The sequence below is a fragment of the Homo sapiens genome, chromosome 8 (assembly GCF_000001405.40).
Source record: "Homo sapiens chromosome 8, GRCh38.p14 Primary Assembly".
NCBI lineage: Eukaryota > Metazoa > Chordata > Mammalia > Primates > Hominidae > Homo > Homo sapiens.
In genome coordinates, this window is record NC_000008.11 from 127,999,836 (window position 1) to 128,019,602 (window position 19,767).

General features: G+C 44.1%; 1 long non-coding RNA gene, 1 other non-coding gene and 1 pseudogene across 52 annotated transcripts in view, besides 3 other annotated features; 2 read left to right on the plus strand and 1 right to left on the minus strand.

Annotated features, from left to right (window-relative positions):
* PVT1 (Pvt1 oncogene) overlaps nucleotides 1–19,767 on the plus strand; it is a 306,733-nt gene that overhangs the window by 205,312 nt on the left and 81,654 nt on the right. For 47 of the 51 annotated variants that reach the window (NR_186144.1, NR_186151.1, NR_186156.1 and 44 more), the window contains 2 exons: nucleotides 9,755–9,883; nucleotides 10,483–10,609. The exons of 1 other annotated variant lie outside the window; for it this stretch is intronic. This is a non-coding gene — a long non-coding RNA (Pvt1 oncogene). Of the gene's footprint in view, nucleotides 1–1,315; nucleotides 1,433–3,555; nucleotides 3,654–9,754; nucleotides 9,884–10,482; nucleotides 10,610–13,954; nucleotides 14,307–19,767 lie in introns of all 51 variants that reach the window. 3 more of the 51 variants (NR_186129.1, NR_186133.1, NR_186138.1) reach the window with 3 other exon arrangements.
* Nucleotides 1,262–1,401: an enhancer, noted in NCBI's record as "active region_27957". NCBI's record gives its function as "activates an Ori minimal core promoter by ATAC-STARR-seq in GM12878 lymphoblastoid cells {active_cell/tissue: GM12878}" and the evidence as "EXISTENCE:reporter gene assay evidence [ECO:0000049][PMID:35858748]".
* Nucleotides 1,480–2,061: an enhancer, noted in NCBI's record as "H3K27ac-H3K4me1 hESC enhancer chr8:129013561-129014142 (GRCh37/hg19 assembly coordinates)". NCBI's record gives its function as "activates a minimal SCP1, AML or CMV promoter by ChIP-STARR-seq in primed H9 embryonic stem cells {active_cell/tissue: H9 hESC(primed)}" and the evidence as "EXISTENCE:reporter gene assay evidence [ECO:0000049][PMID:30033119]".
* On the plus strand, nucleotides 9,063–9,121 carry MIR1206 (microRNA 1206). Its single transcript, NR_031611.1, has one exon. It is a non-coding gene; the product is annotated as a microRNA 1206 (primary transcript).
* Nucleotides 10,547–10,776, minus strand: RNU4-25P (RNA, U4 small nuclear 25, pseudogene; annotated as a pseudogene).
* Nucleotides 16,192–16,281: an enhancer, noted in NCBI's record as "active region_27958". NCBI's record gives its function as "activates an Ori minimal core promoter by ATAC-STARR-seq in GM12878 lymphoblastoid cells {active_cell/tissue: GM12878}" and the evidence as "EXISTENCE:reporter gene assay evidence [ECO:0000049][PMID:35858748]".

The following is a 19,767-nucleotide window of genomic DNA, read 5'->3' on the forward strand; positions in this document are numbered from 1 at the left end:
TGGAAAGTTCACGTGGGGCAAGAGGAGTGGGCTGAGAACATTGGACTTTTCCCTATGGTCAATGTGGCCTCATTCAACAAAAATCAAGATGAGTCAGATGCATGTAGAAAGAGACTCCGAAATGTGTCCTGCCTAGATGTTTGCAAACCGGGACTCTGTGTTATGCTCACAGGCCTTTGAATGTGTCTCTCCCTGGGCTTCATGTGCCCTTGCTGGTTTCTGGACTGTCCTGTTCTGCTCCTGTCCTCCTACTGACAGCCTTTCCTGCTTTCCTTTCCCTCCCATGCCACTCCCACTCCATACAACCTCTTCCCCTGCACACTGCTCCTAGAACCCCTTGGTTAGCCCCATCAGGGATGTCCCTGCTTTCCTGGGACCCGAGGCACACAGAATGAGGATGAAACAGTTGACGTATCATGTAGTATCCCCCACCTGGCTTCCTTCTCAGCCAGGCGTCCCAAACTCAATTGTCTGCAGAGGCCAGGCAGGCAACAAAAATAAGTGATGTGGGCCTCCTGGGCAGTCAGGAGGGCTTGGTGCAGAACTGGAAGCACCAGAGGTAGCAAGGAACCAGGAGATCAGGCCAGCACCTGCTCTGAATGGTCAGGCACCTCCATGGTTGCATAGCAAATCAGTTGTTGAGAAATGTTTTGACTATGGTCCTTGTGTAGGCCCAGTATAAAGGGGGAAATGGCCAGTCTGTGGCTGCTGATTATGGCCCTGAAAGTCTGCAGGCCCAGAATGGCCAGACCTGGTTGTTCAAAGGAAAACTGGCAGGTGGGAAGGGCGGAGGGCCTTGCCCCTTCCCATTTGCCTCCTGTGCCTGACAGTGTCACCGTAGCAATACTTTCCTGGCAGCAGGACTTTGTCCCATAACAATAGTTGATTTTAGTGTGTAGGGCTTTTGTTGTTGTTGTTTATTCCATACTTGGAACCAGCTGCGTTGTGCTACTATCAGAGATGACAGCCCAGCCTGGAGCTCTGCAAGGTCCTCCAGGCTTCTCAGTTCTGATCATTCCACCAGCAGATCCCATCACCAAAGGGGTGTACTTGCTTCATGCAGCTGCTGCTTCTCCCAGACCTCATTGTCCCCCTTGTGCCTTTTCCATGTTCAATACAGGATTTGTTTTTTATCTGAAATTCTACCCGTTAAAACATTTGGTATGTTTCCTCTTCTCTTGTGAGGTGTATTTCTGTATTTCCTACCTTTGCATCCTTTGCTCAGTTCAACTTGAAGCAGGTTTCCAAGCTCATCACTTGGAGGCCCAGGGCATTGCCACTGCCCCCCACCCCACCGCCTACCGCCCACCTGCAGGTCTGTGCCAGGAAGCCCTGCGTGCTGTCTGCACCCCGTTTGGCTGCTTGCCCACAACCATGACTGCTCCTGAGGGGCTCGCCAGCAGCACTGTTTCCCAGCCTGCTGTGCATAAAGGTGACGCTTCGGGTTTTCCACAGTGAACAATGGTTCCCAGAGTGGGCAGGACTCCCTAGTGTCTGCAAGGGTGTGTGACCATGCAGGGTGGAAACAACCTTGTCAAAATAAACCAGGGCAGTGCTGAGGGGGGAAGTGAGGCTAGCTGGGGGGAAATGTGGGCTGAGTGCTTCTTGGGGGGTTTCCTCTGTACCGGTGCCCAGCTGCCCAAGGGTCCCAGAAGGCAGAGGCTGACACACTTCCTGTGACCCTTTCAGACTCGCCATTGGCCCCCACCAGATCAGGAATCTGTTTTCCCTTGTTGACCTTGAGCCACTCACAGAGTGGGAAAGGTTTGCCTATGGAACGAAAACAGTCCTCCTTCCATGATTTCCCCTTTGCTCCCATGTTCATCCATGTGGGCTGCTGTAACAAAATCCCATAAACTGGGTGGTTTACAAACAACAAAAATTTATTTCTCATAGTTCTCAAAGCTAAAAGTCCAAGATCAATGCGCTGGGAGATTTGGTGTCTGGTGAGAACCTGCTTCTTGGTTCAGTGTCTTCTTACCGCGTCCTCACATGGAGGAAGGGGCGAGAAAGCTTTCTGGAGCCTCTTTTGTCAAGGCACTAATCCCATTCATGAGGACTCAACACTCGTGACTGGATCGCCTCCCAAAGCCCCTACCTCCAAATCCCATCACCTTGAGGGTTAGGATTTCAACTATGAACTTTGGGGAGACACCGACATTCAGACTGTAGCAGCTCCCCAGCACAATCCTGCTCGACCGAATTCACCTTCCTGACCAGGCACGTCAACAATCTTTCTGTCCCTCTGATGCCAGAACGTTATGTTTCTGAGGGTGAAACTTGAGTGATTAATTGACAGTATTCCTCAGGAATCCTTGCTGATTGCTGAATGCATAAATGAGTGAAAGACCTGGATAATCCCCAACAGGCGCCTGAGTCTCACATCCGCCCTGGGTGATTCCCCATGGCCAGGGGCCCACCTCGGTTCCCAGGGATCCATGGGCATGATCATTGTGATGAGCCACTACTCTCCAATCTGGCCTCTGCACCTGTGTGACATTTTCCTCCCATTGCTTTACATGTTACTCTTTCTTATTCAGTAGGATGTGCAGATTGGTCAGGGTGTGTATTAGTTTCCTAGAGCTGCTATAACAAAGTACCACAAACTAGGTTGCCCAAAACAACAGAAATGTATTCTCTCATAGTTGTGGAAGCCAGAAGTCTGAAATCAAAGAGTTGTGAGGGCTGTGTTCTCCCTGCAGATGCCCAGAAAAATCCTCCCTTTCTCTCTCCCGGCCTCTGCTGGAGGCTGGCCATCCTTGGCGCTCTTTGGCTTGTCATTGCATCATCCAAGTCTCTGCCTCCATCCTCCTGTGTCCTCTCCTGTGTGTTTGTGTCCAAATTTCCCTTTTCTTAGAATTGCATCTTCTCTAAACCAGCATGACCTCATCATAACTTGATTACATCTGCAAAGACCCAATTTCCAAATAAGGCACATTCACAGGTTCTGGGAGTTAGGACTTCAACATAACACTTCTGGGGACACAGTTAAACCCACAACAGAGTATAAGGAGAAAATGTTACAACTTCCTTTCTCTTCTTTTTTTTCCTTTTCTTTTCTTTTTTTCTCTTCTTTCTTTTTCCTTCCTCCCTCCCTGTCTCCCTCCCTCTCTGCCTCCCTCCCTCCCTCCCTCTTCCTTCCTTCCTTCCTTCCTTCCTCCCTTCTTTTTTCTTTCTTTTTTTGACGGAGTCCTGCTCTTTGCCCAGGCTGGAGTGCAGTGGTGCAATCTCGGCTTGCTGCAACCTCCATCTCCCAGGCAGGTTCAAGTAATTCTCCTGCCTAAGCCTCCCGAGTAGCTGGGACTACAGGCACCTACCACCACACCTTTTTTTTTTTTAGTAGAGACAGGATTTCACTGTGTTAGACAATCCTGCCTCCCTCCCTCCCTCCCTTTCTTCCTTCCTTCCTTCTTTCCTTCCTTCCTTCTTTCCCTCCTTCCTTCCTCTCTTCTCCTCTCCTCTCTTACCCTCCCCTCCCCTTCTGTCTCCTCTGCTCCCCTGCCCTCCCTTCTCCTCCTTCTCCTTCTCCTTTTTCTTCTTCTCTTTGTTGTCCAGGCTGGAGTACAGTGGAAGGATCATGGCCCACTGTAGCCTAGACATCCCAGGCTGAAATGATCCTCTCTCCTCAGCCTCCCAAGTACCTGGGACTACAGGTATGTGTTCCCATGCCTGACTAGTTTTTGTATTTTTTGTAGAGACAGGATTTCATCATGTTGCCCAGGCTGGTCTTGAAGATATCTGCTTGCCTCTGCCTCCCAAAGTACTGGGATTACGGGTGTGCGCCATTGCGCCTGGCCTGTTGATTTCTTTTTTATAAAATGTCTTTGTTTTCATCCCTGTTATTATAATAATAATATAGGCATTCATATGCATATGTGTAAATTATAAGTGAGTTCTTATATAGATTTGGGGGACTATTCTCCAACATGACTGATGAGGGCATAGTCAAAAGACAAATTAATCAGGCCACCAGTCTGATTTATGAAGCGTCTCTGTCTTTGTCTATTTGGGCTGCTATAACAAAATATCATAGAATAAAGGGCTTAGTTTATTTTCTTACTGTGCTAGAGGCTGGGAAGTCCAAGGTCAAGGTGTGAACTGATTCAGTTTCTGGTGGGGGCTCTCCTCTTGGCTTGCAGATGGTTGCCTTCTTCTGTGTCCTTACATGGTTGTAGGAGCAGAGAGGGTTCTCTGGTGTTTCTTCTTATAAGGACACATATCCTTTCAGATTAGGACTTCACCCTTAGGACCTCGTTTAACCTTACCAACCTCCATAAGGTTTCTATCTCCAATAAAGTCACCTTAGGGGTTGGGACTTCAACATATGAATGCAGAATGGATGCTGGCACCTTTCAGTCCACAGCAGGCCGCAACTACTGTATTTCATTGTACAATAAGATCCCCTTGACTCTTGTGAATTATAATGAACATTAGTCTGTAAAGCAGGTCCTTGTAATCCAGCCAGTTTGTATACAGTAGGTAATCAAGAACTATGGATTTACTGGGTTTATTGGGTGGGGGAGAAGGGAGGGCTTTATTCAGGTGCCAGCACTTCTTCACCTTTCTCTACATTTGCTCATCCTGGAGGTGGGGTTGAGCTGGGTCTGCCTTGTCCCCTCACTTCCCTCTCTGCCGAGAGAGTCCTGAGCCCACCCATTACTGGTAGCAAAGCCCGGGGCACAATCTCCGTTTTCCTATTTGTAAAATGGAGCTAACAGTAGTACCCATCTCATCAGATGGCTGTAGAGATGAAATGAGATAATGTATTTGTGGCGTTAGGACAACAGTGGTCCTGCTACAGGGAGAAGCCTGGGCCAGGAGATAGACTAGTCTCCAGATACCACTGAAGTAGCCTTTCGAATACCAATTACCTGCCTCACTTTGCAGCTGTGCAGCCCTGAACAAGTTACTTTCCCTCTCTGATTTTCCAGTCTTTGTTACCTGTAAATGTAACAATGCCTTTCTCTATGTTGTTGCGAAGTCCACATAAAGTGACATGAAATTGATTATAAAATACAACACAGGCTGGGCACAGTGGCTCACGCCTGTAATCCCAGCACTTTGGGAGGTGGAGGAGGGCAGATCACTTGAGGTTGGGAGTTCAAGACCAACCTGACTAACATGGAGAAACCCCGTCTCTACTAAAAATACAAAATTAGCCAGGCATGGTGGCACATGACTGTAATCCCAGCTACTCGGGAGGCTGAGGCAGGAGAATCGCTTGAACCTGGGAGGTGGAGGTTGCAGTGAGCGGAGATCACACCATTGCACTCCAGCCTGGGCAACAAGAACAAAACTCCATCTCAAAAAAAAAAAAAGTTACAACACAAAGGTTGGCAACTATCACTAATAAGTTTGACTGGGAAACCTCACTACTACATTTGTATTGTCTTAGACCAAGCTTGTGAGATTTTTTTGTTATTTGTTTTTGAAGCTCATCAGCTATCGTTAGTGTTAGTGTATTTTATGTGTGGCCCAAGACAATTCTTCTTCTTCCAATGTGGCCCAGGGAAGCCAAAAGATTGGACACCCCTGTCTTAGACTTTTAAGGAGCTGTGACTGAAGGATGGAGACTGGGCCAGGTGGGGCTTGGTGCAAGTTTAAGCTCTTAGGTCATTTCTAAATAGCAAACCTCTCAAATAGCATCCAACAGATATGCCCTAGTCTTGTCGTCTTTCCCCTGCTATCTTTTGTACATGTACCTTCTGCTGACTGCAGTGTGTCCTGGAGCCCTGACTTAGTTAAACCTCAGAACATCCCTCTGCATCCGGATGCATCCAGTACTCTCGGTTTGTCTGGCTCCTGCTGTACTCCCTGCATCTGCCCAGCTGCTGACACAGCCACATATGGCTTCCTTTGCCCCAGCTTTCAGCATTCTGGTGGCTTGTAGTGCTGAGTGCTAGCAAAGAAAGTGGGTACTCTCACACACTGCTGCTGAAAGGTGGAGGGTGATGAACAGGACCAACAGCTCTAAAAGACGTTTCAAGGCCAGGTGTGGTGGCTCACACCCGCAATGCCAGCACTTTGGGAGGCCAAGGCAGGCAGATTACTTGAGGTCAGGAGTTCGAGGCCAAGCAGCCAACAAGGTGAAACCCCATCTCTACCAAAAATACAAAAATTAGCCAGATGTGGTAGTGCGCGCCTGTAGTCCCAGCTACTCAGGGGGCTGAATAAGGAGAATCACTTGAACCTGGGAGGCAGAGGTTGCAGTGAGCTGAGATTGCGCCACTGCACTCCAGCCTCAGTGACAGAGTGAGACCTTGTCTCAAATAATAATAATAATAATAATAATAATAATAATAATAATAATAATAAAAAGATAAGGGAAATTTGGGCAGGACTTCTCCAAGTTTAGAGTATATGCACCCTTTGGCCCAGCAATCCCACTTCTCGGAGTCTGTACCCTAGAAATAGTGAGGGAAGTTTCAAAAGATATTTATTCAACAGCATTAGTAATGTATCAGAACCTTGAAGACAGCCTAGCTGGTCAACAGTACAATGCTCAGTTGCCACTATAAAGAATGAGATGCTGTGTCCTTCTCAGTGCCTCAGATCAGGAGGCACCTGGTGTTGGCTTGTCACATTACTAATGATGTTTACTTCCATCACTTGATTAAGGTGATGTCTGCCAGATTTCTCTACTGTAAAGTTTCTATTTTTTTTTCTGTGTAATGAATAAGTATCTTGTCAGGAGATGCTTTGGACCTATGTAAGTATCTTGTTTCTCATCACACTTTCACCAAACTAATTTTAGCATTCGTGGATAATTCTTGTCTGAAACAGTTATTACTACAGTGTGTGCCAAACAGTGATTTTCTACTTCCATCATTACTCCTACATTTGTCAATTAAAATGTTACTATAAGGAAGATATTTTCTTTTATATTGAAAAAATGCAATTTTTTAAAAATCAGTCTGGACTCTTGGATTCTCATTATATTGGTTATAACCCATGACTATAATACATTTTGTGCTCAGATTTTTCTAGATTTTACATTGGGATGCCCTTCAAGTTGGGTTCTATGTATTTTTGCCATTTTACTGTTGTTTTTTGAGCACTGCCTTACCTTTTGACCCCACAAGATATTCTAGGCTCAGTGTACACTTTGCCTGGTCCAGCCCTGGAATCAGCCATTGCTGCTGTGCTATCCTTGACAGAACTATAACCTGAATTTAACAAGGAGGAAATATCAGGCAAACACAAATGGAGTGACATTCTAGTTAACAACTGATCAGCACTCTTTAAAAATGAAAGACAAAGAATGACTGAGGAATGAGTTCAGATTAAAAGAGACGAAGGGACACGCTCCAACTGTAACTGCAACGCATGACTGCGGGCTGCGTTCTGCATTGGAAAAAAGTGTTACTGATGAAATTTGAATATCGTCTCTAGATTGAGCAACTAAGCAATAATATTGTATTAAATTGCTAGATTGGGCAATAGTATTGTACTAAAGTTAATTTCCTGACACAGTTAAATAATTGTACTGTGTATATAAGATGTCAAAATTGAGAAGTTGCAAGGCTAAATGGAATTTCTCAGTTTTTTAAACTCTTACTTTGTACATCTGAAATTATTTTAAAATAAAAACTAAAAAAAAAAAACCTAAATACAAACCATGAGATAGATTTATATGTACTAATATGGGATGGTGTCCACAATCAATTGGAAAAGATAAGTTGTAGTACCATTTGTATAGAATTGGCCCATTTTTGTAGGAGCAAGACAGAACAATATAGTGCACATACATATTTATCTACACATGGGAGAAATTCTGTGAAGGGTATGTACTTCCTGTTAACAGACATTTCTGGGAAATGTGTTTGGAAGGTATGAGACACCTTTTACTTTTTGATGTCTCCTGATAATGGGAAAACAGTAAGAATGTGGGTTGTATGCATGAGTGTGATTCTACACGTGTAGGTTTAGGTTTGATGTACTCCCATCCAGCTTATTCTCTTTTGCATTTTCCAGCACAGGCAGTGCTGTGCAATGTCTTGCCCAGTGGACACCCACCTAATTTTCACTCCACAAACCACTGTCCTACATCTGATCCTTAACAAAGTATGTTAGTTGTAGACACAAAGGTGGCCTACATTTCATACTTGTTGACAGTAATGCTAGTTGACTCATCTTACCTTTGTCTGAGGAGGCTGGAAATTGTTTGTCCTCAGAAACTTTAGGGAGAAATTTATTACTAAGATTGTATCATTTTGGTCTCCCCAGAGAAATGAAAAATTAGAAATTGGCCATGTGACAATCGTTGCATTTACCTCTTTAAGGAGCAGTGATTCTTTAAGTGGTGCTTGATTTATCTAAACCCGATTAATTAGTGAACGGTCATCTGTTTCTCCCAGGAATTTTTAATGATCATTAGGCTTTTGTAGTTACTGTGAAATTTTGTTTACGTGGATTTATTTTTGTGCAGGATTGTATACAGGGCAGATGCTCCTTAATTTAAGAAGGGAGATGTGAGAACAAAAGTGTCTTCTCTTGAGTGAGGGCCTGTTATGTGCCCTGACTTGTTACAAATATCGACTAATGTAACCTTCTCTACCATGTACCTTTCTTCCAATTTATCAATGAGGAAACTGATGCAAAAATGTATGTTCCCACAGGCTCTGGTGTGTTCACTGAGTTAGCTCCAGAAAGAACTGTCCCCTTCTCATGCCTGTTCCCTACTTCTTTTGCAGCTAATTCTCCGAAATGGTTTCTGTCTTCAGCTTTCTGGGCTGCCCCATCACCTGTGTTGCTTCTAAATGTTAGTTTCATTGCTGCCTTCTGGGTTCCTCTGCTTCTCTCTGACATGATGTCTCTACGGATGCATCTCTCAGTAATGATTATAATGGTGGTGATGATAATAAAAAGAGAATACACAAGTGTTTTTATCAATCCCTGACCATGCTGGGCACAATGCTAAGCATGTGCAGGCATGATGTCTTTATTCTGCCCACTCAGCTGATGAGATTGAAGGGGCTCCCTGCAGGTTGGGGCCTGAAAAACACAGCCAGGTCCATCTAGGAACTAGAAGCTATGGTCAGGCTTACATGCTTTTTTCATATCAGTGTTCATGTAGATGTTTAAGCTCTTGCAGTAGGTTTTTGCAAGCTAGTGAACGCTGCCAAATTATGCTCGCCACACAATTGCAGCCACCTATTCCCAGGCAGTATAAATATATGGCTGAACTAACATTAATACCTATCACTGTTTTATCAAGTGACATAATCAAGATAATTATGAAGTATCCAAATATTAATTTTCATAGATTAAAAGCAGATAAAGTATTAGAAATCTGCTTATATCATTAGCAGAAACATTTTTGGGGGCCACAGGGTAAGGAAAAGAGGGGAAAATATTGTCCTTCAACAAAAGTAATCATATTCTAGTAAGTATAATAAAAGAAATGACAAGCTTTTCAGAATTTCCACGACTAAAAATTGTTTTAGCTGCAGCTAAAAAAGCATCACATAACAAAATATCTCTTGTTTAAAATATTTGCTACAAAAAAGTCCTATTCTATATGTCCTGCATAAGAACAAGTATCTTTATATAAGAAATGTGTTTAATAGCCCTCTTTCATTCTTTTTCTGAAGCCCTCCCTGTTAAATTGCACCCAAAGGGGAAACATTAATTGAACTGTAAAGCTTTTTTTTTTTCTGTCTAAAGACATTAAAGACATATAGGTGGTATTAAATGAACCTTTAACTAGAGCTCTGTGAGTTTTCAAAATAGATTTTATTTTTCTTTACCATAGGCCAACAGAGATTTTGAGAAACACATTGAAGGATCTGTTAACACTTGATATACCCAATAAAAGCAGTGGTTGTGCCAGTGCTGATCTGTCTTGATGTGAATGTGAACAATGGGAACCTGAGCTGAGCAGGTAAATAATCATGTAGTACAGTCACCGTCTTCAGTGTTTGAGATGACTAGCAGGGTAAACCACGCTGTGTCTAAGATGCAGTGTTAATTCTGTTTGAAGTAAAAATATGCAAGTGTGGTACTGGATATTTTGGCACGCAATCTTGCGAAATTTCTCATTGATGAGATTCTGACATAGGAACTACATTTGAGTAAGAATCATAGCTCAATACAGCATGATTTCAGGAAAGTCGACTAAGATAAAAGTGTTTCTGAGGCTGAACAGCAAGAATCTTTTGCTAAGAGTTAGAATAGATTGACAAGAACCTAAAATCAGAAGTTGCAATTCTGCTGAGATACTGCTTTTCAGTTCTCCGGTGGAAGCTTCATTGGACATATTGTACATCAAGCCTCTATGTGACTGATTCCTGCCTCTTTATGTCTTGTTTTAGATTCTCCATGGCAGTAGCTTTAGGCAACCCAGTTTTACTGAATGCAGCAATGGTTTCAGTGACCATTAGAGTCCAATTTTAGGATGATACTTCTCCAAATTGTTAAAACTCCCTGGTGCTTTTCTCTTATAAACTGCAAAATGTCTTCATATTTCATCCCGCTTTTCAGTTAATGCTAGGGTGACAGAAACTGGACCTCTCCCAAGACATGTGACAGAGTAATACAGCAGCCAACTTCTTCGCCAAATTAAAGTTTTACAAGATTTAACCTGTCATCAAGACCTGGGATTTTGGTGGTGAGTCATCTTCAAAAGCCAAGTTCGGTCCCTGGTTTGCCTTCTTTTCCGCACAAGAACAAGGGTTTTGATGGCTCTGGTCTCCAGGACCATCTGTGGCTTTCTATTAGCAATAATCGCACCTCGGTGAAACCTCATTGGCTACGATACTGCCACTGCGCAAAGCTCATGGCTTTCTTTAATAGCAAATGGCCTCTGACTTTTAAGAAGCCATGTGGCTACCCCTCAGCAGACTTAGGAGAGGTCTTGGCTATTATTTGTTGTTTTATAAGGTGTCATCATTGAGCATCTACTCTGGATGAGGCTCTGTGCTGGGCTTGAGGGGTACAGGGAAGTTTCACATGTCCCGTCTTGTTGAATCACACACACTTGATCTCACTACAACAGCAGAAAACAAGTTAAAGTTCCCCAGGGGTTGACACATTTGCCTGCCGTGTTTATTGCTGCTGTGATTTCTGCAGCATGGTCCAAAGAAGGCAATCAGTCAACAGTGAATGGGTTGAGATTTTGTGATTTTGGTTTAGGAGTCTTAATCTCTAGAATAAAATCTAATGAAAGGGTGGGGCTATGTTTTTCTCTTGCCTTGACTTCTTTGACTCTATTTGTAAATTCCAAATTTACCCAGGCCTCTGGCTCATTCTGTCTTAAGGTGCGGGGACCTCTAAAATGTAGATGGCAACAATCTTTAGACTATATGTGTCTTGATGGTAGGGCAATCAAATTGATTTCCTCAGCATATACGAGTCATGTTTTGTAAGCATGGTGGGTACTTAGTCAATGTCTCAATCAGATTTGCTTCTGTTTAGCAAGATAATCTTTTGTGGGGGAGTGTTATGGACTGAACTGTTTTCCTTCTTCCAAACGTATATGATGAAACCTACCCCCATGTACTCAGTATTAAGAAGTGGACCTTTGGGAGATAATTCAGGTTAAATGAGATTATGAGGGTGGGGCTCTCGTGATGAAATTAGTGCCCTCAAAATAAGAGACCTCAGAGAGCTTACTGTCTCTCTTCTCTCTCTGCTACGTGAGGACACAATGAGAAGGGAGCCATCCACAATGCAAGGAGAGGGCCCTCATCAGAACAGACCATACTAGCACCTTGATCTTGCACTTGTAGTCTTCAGAACTGTAAGAAAATGAATTTTCTATTATTTAAGCCACCCAGTCTGGTGCAGTCTATTATTGCCTTCCAAATGGAGAAATACAAGGAAACTAGGGCCGTCTTAGCTTCACAGAGAGAAGATGTGGAGAGGAGTTAGGAGGTAGAGACTGGACCTTGATGGTGGTGATATTCAATTAGTGAAAGGCTGAGAAGAGGTCAAATATACTTCTTGTGGCCCCAAAGATCAGAACCAAAATGGAAAGGTAGAAACAGTAGGCAAACAGAAAGCAACTTAATAAAAGGAAAAGGAACCTGAGAGAATGCTCTGTCTCTGACAGTGGTTGGGATCTCATCACTGGAGATATCCACACAGGGACTGTATTACTACTGAGAGGGGGTGGGGCTGAAAGGATCCAAGCATTGCACTGTGATGCGACCCCATAAGGTCACTTAGTCTTTGGGACTTGTGAGCTCACAGTGAATCATTACAAACAGAAACGATTCCCTCTTATTTGTGGAGCACATTAAAATTTCCAAAGCATTTTTGTGAGTACATTAGCTCCCATGATTTATATCAAAACATTAGAGTTGACATTCAATACACATTTGCTGAATGAGGGGGATGCATGAAGGAGCTATTGTGGTACCTTGGTTGGCAGAAGAGGAATACATGGGCAGAGTCATTTCTAGACTTGCTAGGAAAGGCCAAGCCAGGCTTGGACCTGGGTCTCTACTGTACTCTTTACTCTACTCAGTCTTTTCCAAGGTGGAAATAATATTTTCTCTGAGGCTGATGTTTTTCTGTTTGTTTTGCATTTTGGTAAATTCATCAACATCAATATCCCCTTTAATGCTCACAAATGCCCTTAGAACCAGCTTTTATTGTTCTCATTTTGCAAATGAGAAAATGGAGGCTTCAAGAGTTGAGTGAGTTTAGCAAGGTTTTCAACTCTTCTTGGGCAGAGCATTAGGGTTGCAGACAGTTGGGCACCCTCTTCAAATGAATGTGAGCCAACGTTGGCCCTGTTGGGTGTGCAAGGAGTTCTTGCAGAGTTGATGGAGACCCTGTTTCGAGTCACATGAATAATTAATCTAGGGAAACAGTAGTCAAACAGTCAACTCATTCTTTCTTGCACTCTTGCTGATCCTCAGCAATTTCTCGGCTGCTCCTCCTGCCAGAGTCCTGTTTTGTACCTTGTAAACAAGTCACTCTAGGAGTTCCTAGTCCTGGCTGTATACCATAGTCACCTAGGGGCTTGCAAAATCTACTAATATCCACCCCACTCCCACCGTACTCCAGAGATTAAGATTTAATTGATCTAGAGAGGGATCTGGGCTTTGGTGTTTTAAAAAATCTCTTTAGATGGTTGAGAATCACCAAATTTTTGTTGGTGTGGGGCAGGTTTGCACATTCAGGTTCATGGGTTATTGGAATGAGGCATGAAGGGGCCTGCTATGTTCCCAGGGCCTGCTAGCTCTGTGCCGATTGCTTTTGGTTTTGTAGAAATGATTTCATTCCTTCTTCCCTGAAGCCATCCTGATTTGAGGTCATAGTCTATGGGGGTGCCATGTGGATTTATACTGCAACTCTTGTTTTTACTAGCTCTGTGACCTCAGAAAGGCCACCCCCCCTTCCCTGTGCCTCTGTTTCCATCTCCTCTGTAACATGGGGATAATAATACTAGTTTCCTTATAAGTCTGTTGTGAGCATTAACTCTTGGGATTATGCCTGTTGAATAGTTAGGGTTCCACAAATAAGTCTTGCTTAATGGTGTTGTTATCATTGTAATAGCTGCATGTGTGTGAGTGTATAAATGTATGTAAGATATTTTTCCTGTTTTTTTTTCCCCCTGGCAGAGTTAGCCACTTCTTCCTATGTGTAAGCATATCATCACTTTCTATTTCTATTATGGAATTGTAATGTGTTTTTGTGTCCCTAACCTGATATATTCATTCCACAAATGTTTATTGAACACTTGCTGAATGCTGAGGAATGGACAAGAGAGACACAATCTCTGCCTCTTGAGCCATTTGAACTTTGAAGAGGACAGATGATGACAAGAGGAAGTGGAAATAGGCTAGGATGCTACGGAGACTAGAACAAATGGTCCTTATTCGTACCTTGCTGTGGGGGAGACTCTCCTGACAGAGTTAGTTGTGTCACCTGCATTCTTTCTTTCCCTTCCACATATAGTGTCCTGGGACTTACTGTGATTACTTATCTCTCTATCCCTCAACAGTAAGTCCTAATCATTGGGGCTAGGAAATGTGCCTTGTCAAATGAATTAATGAATGAATCACGCTGGACCAAAATGAACAAAAAGTTATTTTTTTGACTCAATTTAGCTTAAACATCACATCCTGAGATGCTGTGTTAAATCCTGGAGTCACAAAAGACCTTTACAGAAATCTTTACAGATTTCTGGGAACTATAGACACGTATATGAGGATAGGTTTGGACCATTGTAGCTGCTGTAATAGCTGTTGTTCTGGTGAGCAGTGGGGACCCAAGTGTTAGTAGGCCCTGCAATAAACATGTATGGGCCTGAGATAAATGGGTCAGTGTCTCTCACGAAGCTCTGTTTCGTCAAGGTGAGGGAATGTGTCTTTTTTGCATTTATTCCCTCCCAGGGTTTAGGTCACTGCCTGACACATGGCAGGTGCACAGTGGATACACAGAGAGTGGCCAGACAGACGACATAGCTTTTCTCTGTGGATTTATCCTCATCTCTACAAGGGGGGTTAGCCAGTATTTTGAGGGTCTCCCTCAATGCTCACATTCTAGAATCCTGTGATGGGTGCTGAAACAACGCTCCCTCATTGGAGCTGCTTGAGAAGGTCATTCATTATTTTGCGATATCTTCAGACTCTCATCATTGCTAGAAGCTGACTAATTATGAGAAGAGAAGTGAAGGCCTTGAAATGCCTCTCTCTGCACATCTGGCCTCACTGTCAAATAAAGTACTTATTTCTGATAAGCTCTTTGGCTTCTGTGAAGCCGCCTGGCCGTGTCTGGCCGTGGGCGGTGCTGATAATGAACCGAACAGAGAACACAGACTTGGCGGGGAAGGTGGGGACCCAGTGGGTAGAAAGAATGGGCTTTTTAGACCATTTCAAAGTAACAAGAAAGCTTTGAGAGTGCTTAGTGATGTCTGCTACCACATTCATTTCCTCTGTTTCCATTGAAATTGAAGTTCTAGATGGACTGAACCTGACTAAGAAAAGGGAATGTGGACAGGAAAGCTAATGACAAATGCAACTGGCTTATTTCTGGAGTGCTTTGTACTCTCAGAGTCTTGTGCCCTGAACTTTCTTCATCTGGACTCTAGGGGCACTTAAGCAATTAGCATGCCACAAGCTGGGTGCTGTGGAAAGATCATAGACTTTAGAAACTGTCCAAGAAACTAGTGGGACTCCACACCTTGTGAGTTGTGTATCCTTGTCAAGTTTAATTTACCATGTTGAGCCTCAGTTTCCTCACCTAAGAGAAAGAAAAGAGAAATAGATTTATTTATTTATTTATTTATTTATTTATTTATTTATTATTTATTTATTTTTGAGACAGGGTTTCACTCTGTTGCCCAGGCTGGAGTACAGTGGTGCGATCTCAGCTAACTGCAACCTCTGGTATCTGGGTTCAAGCGATTCTCGTGCCTCAGCCTCCTGAGTAACTGGGATTGCAGGCGTGCACCAACACATCAGGCTACTTTTTGTATTTTTAGTAGAGACTGGTTTTCACTATGTTGACCAGGCTGGTCTTAAACTCCTGGCCTCATGTGATCTGCCCATCTCGGCCTCCCAAAATGCTGGGATTACAAGTATGAGCCACTGTGCCTGTCTGAGAAGTGATTGTTTAGTTAGAGTAACTCTAGATGACATAACAAATAAACCTCAGTATTCTAGTAGCTCAAAGACACCTCTTTCTAAGTCAGATAATAGTTTGAAGCTGGGCGCAGTGGCTCACGTCTGTAACCCCAGCACTTTGGGAGGCCAAGGTGGTAGATCACGAGGTCAAGAAATCGAGACCATCCTGGCCAACATGGTGAAACCCTGTCTCTACTAAAAACACCAAAATTAACTGGCTGTGGTGGCATGCGCCTGTAGATTCAGCTATTCGGGAGGCTGAGGCAGGAGAATCGCTTGAACCTGGGAGGCGGAGGTTGCAGTGAGCCAAGATCACGCCACTGCACTCCAGCCTGGTGACTGAGCAAGACTTTGTCTCAAAAAAAAAAAAAAAAAAAGGTTTGAGAAGGGTTTTCCTGGTCATTAGGTGGCTTTTCTTCATTCTGTGATCTAGAGACCCAGGTCTCTTCCATGTTGTTGTTCTGCCATCCCTGGGACCTTGAAGTTACTCCAACTGGCAGCGGAGATGAAGGACAGGAGAGAAGGCACACCACTTCTTAAACACGTCTTCTGGAAGTAGGCTACAATCATTTCACTTGCCAGGGATAAGTTCTAGACGAGCTTTAGAAGGGGGATGGTCTTTGGGAAGCCAAGGTGGGAGGATTGCTTCATCTCAGGAGTTGGAGATCAGCCTGGGCAACATAGCGAAACCCTGTCTCTATAAAAAATACAAAAATTAGCCACGTGTGGTGGCACATGCCTGTGGTCTCAGCTACTTAAGAGACTGAATAGGAGGATCACCAGAATCTGGGAGGTGGAGATTGCGGTGAACCAAGATCACACCATTGCACTCCAGCCTGGGCAACAGACCAAGACCCTGTCTCAAAAAAAAAAAAAGGGGGCGAGGATGGTAACCATTCTCTGCCATAAATACCTTAGTGTTGCTCAAGAATAAGTGAGGTTGGGTTTGTGAACCTACCCTTGCATAACATGTGTCACCAACTATGGCCTTACTTATTTGTGGATTGTTTGTAGGTACACATGGCCTCACAGGACCATTCGTGTGGTCCTGAAATTAATGTATCCCTTTGGAAATATGTGGTAGACATCTCTCTGTGTTATTAAGGATAGATCTCCACCATGAATGGAATGGCTAATGCTTACAGCTGGATCATGATTTACATTAACTCCTCCCTTGCTGGTATCTTATAGATTGTCTTTGGTTTTGTTTTCACTACAAAGGAGACAGCACGAATTCTCCTACAGGCTCACCACACAACTGGTGCTGTGAGGGAGACGAAGATGAGTCATGCCTGTACTGCTCTTTAAACACTCACAATTGAATAAGCTACCCAGGTGACACGACATGGTTATCCTGGCCAGAAAGCCATGGCTTTTCCTAATCAGAGCTTCAGTGCTGTGGAAACTTGAAGTTTGGAGGGTCTGATGTCTCAGTCTGGATGAGGATGAGTTCCCTGCCATTCCTGGGTTAGCAGCTCCCATCCTCTTAGATTCCAAGATGGTGGCTCATGCCTGTAATCCCAGCACTTCGGGAGGCCAAGGTAAGAGTATGGCTTGAGCCCAGGAGTTCAAGGCAAAACTGGGAAACACAGCAAGACCCTGTCTCAAAAGAAAAAGAAAAGTTTCCAAGATGGTGTAGAACATCAGAGAGGGGCTCTTGGAGATTATCTGGCCATCGTCACCCCACCTGCTTATAGATGGAAATGCATAGACTCAGAGAGGTTGGGGGACATATGGGCAGCTATAGAAATCCAGTGGACCTCAAATCCCGACATTTCTAACCTGAATTAAATTCTCTCACCCTTGTATGGAGGTCCTAGAGTCCTATTTTCCAAACTTTGCCTCTGAATGTCTCCATGTCAAAGGGTTTCTCAGTGTGCCAGAGGGCAATGGAGAATGGAGCAGAAATGACCACAGAAGAACAGGTGGGAAGATTCCTGCAACAGCAAAAATTCTGCTGCCCGGTTCCTGAGACATGAAGAATGTGTTGTCTACACAACTACATGGCCAGCTGCCTCCTTAATTTTTTCATTTTGTTTTGTTTCTGAGACAGAGTCTTGCTCTGTAGCCCAGGCTGGAGTGCAGTGAGCTCACTGCAGCCTCAACCTCCTAGGTTCAAGTGATCCTCCCACCTCAGCCTCCCAAGCAGCTGGGACTATAAGTGCATGCCACCAAGCGCTATTTTTTTTTTTTTTTAATTTTTTTAGAGGCAGGGATCTTGCTATGTTGCCAGGGCTGGTCTCAAACTCCTGGGCTCAAGTTATCCTCCTGCCTCGGCCTCCCAAAGTGCTGGAATTATAGGCGTGAGCCATCATGCCCAGCCCTCCTTAATTTTTTAACATGAATTAATAGGACCTGGACACACACAGCCTCATTTATATCGGCAGCCATCACAGCCTGCCACATGTCAGATGAGGTCTCTGGGGCTCTCACTCCTTGTGTCGGGGGTGATGCCACATGTGGCCCAGCTGTAGGTCACATTCAGCTCCTGTGTTCACCAGGATCAGATGGAATGCCAGCACATCTTACCCTCCTGCGCCCTGGGAGTTTGTAATAATCTACGAATACGTAGATTTATTTCAGAGAACATTTTCCGAATCCTGTTGCGCATACGCACAAAAATATTGGCTGCAGTGTGTTTATAACCATGAAAATTCCAAAATAGCTTCAATCTCCTGTGAGAGGGGAGTGGTGGAAGGCCCTCCAGCACGTGCACAGAATTCTTTCTTCAGCCATGTAAACATGAAAATAAGGGTTAAAAATGACTTCATTATGGGGAAAAGGGACAGGATGCAAATTGTTCAAATGGCATGATGATATTATAAGGAAAGAAAAAGATGTTATAAAAGGTCACATAAAGTCACCCACAGGTCAGCAGTCATGTCATGATTAGCTGCTCTGTGCCAGACACAGGCTGGAAATTGGTAGATGCTCTCCCCAGGAAGTGGGCAGCAGCCCCTTTGTGCCTCTGTCACCTCTGTTAGGCTCCTGGAAGCCCCCTTCATTGCTGCATGTAATGACATCTTCGTCACCACATGTAACAGCTTCTTTACCACTATGTGTAATGCCATTCTGTGTGCTTATTGGGCTAAACAATCACAGAGGAAAAGAGTGCTGGAGAAATGCCAGGGAGATAGGTACCGAAACGTTCCAGATGGAAAGTCTCGTCTTCAGGTGGCCGTAGCAGTAAATGTCAGGGTCAAACAGGGGGTGTATTCTTGGGAGAGCTTCAGCTCGTCTGTGACCTAGTGTCCAGCCAGCTTCCTGGGAAGGAGGCTGCATCCTGACATTGAAGCCCTGTGTGCTAGGATGAGTGTGTTACGCAGAGCCTTACAAATGAGAAAATCTTGCGTCCTCAGGACAGGCAGTTAGTGTTGCTGTCTGGAATACACTGGCTACCTCCCTCCTCCCCCCACCACTTAAAATTCCCTGAATCCGACAGTGGTAGGGAAAGGGCTGATCCTGGAGAAGATTGTTCCTTGATAATCCTAGTATGATTCATAATGGTTGCAGCAGATGAGCCGCGAGGTTTGTGGCTCAGTCTGCAGCTAAGGAAGGCTCTTCCCTGGGGAGGTGTGTCCAGCTTCCCGGAAAGACCTCAGCTGTCTAGCTGGTCTGGGCTGCCCAGTTCTTAGCAGTGCATCAGCAATGAGCAGCCGCTGACCATCAGGCAGCGTTTCCCACCTGCCAGAGAACGTCAGAGCCACTGCGTCTGGACCAGCTGAAGGCAGCCACGGTGCCCAGGATGCTGCTGCTGCCTCCAAGGAAAAGAACTCTGAAAATGAGGAATTACAGCCTGGTGGTTTTGTTTTATGTTAATTTTTTACATCTGGGAGATAATGGAAAAAATTAAAAATTGCTATAATTGCACCAATCTTAAAAATTAATAATATAAAGACGGGAAAGTAACCAACACAAGCTTGAAACCCATCCCGCCCCTTCTTGAGATAATCCCTGTTGTCAGTTTGGTAATTTATGCAAATGTAGTGGTGCACTGTTAAACTTCTCAAGAGGAGAAACAAAAACCCTGAATTGTAGGTTTGTCAATTTCAATGGTGAAATCCCACCGCAGCCGATTTCAGGCAACCAAAGCTTTAAAAACGAGTTCGCAAATTTCTTGAATATTTAACAATCAGCTTTTGCAAGTGCATACATGCTCACAACGTTTGCTTTTTTGTACTTTGTTTTG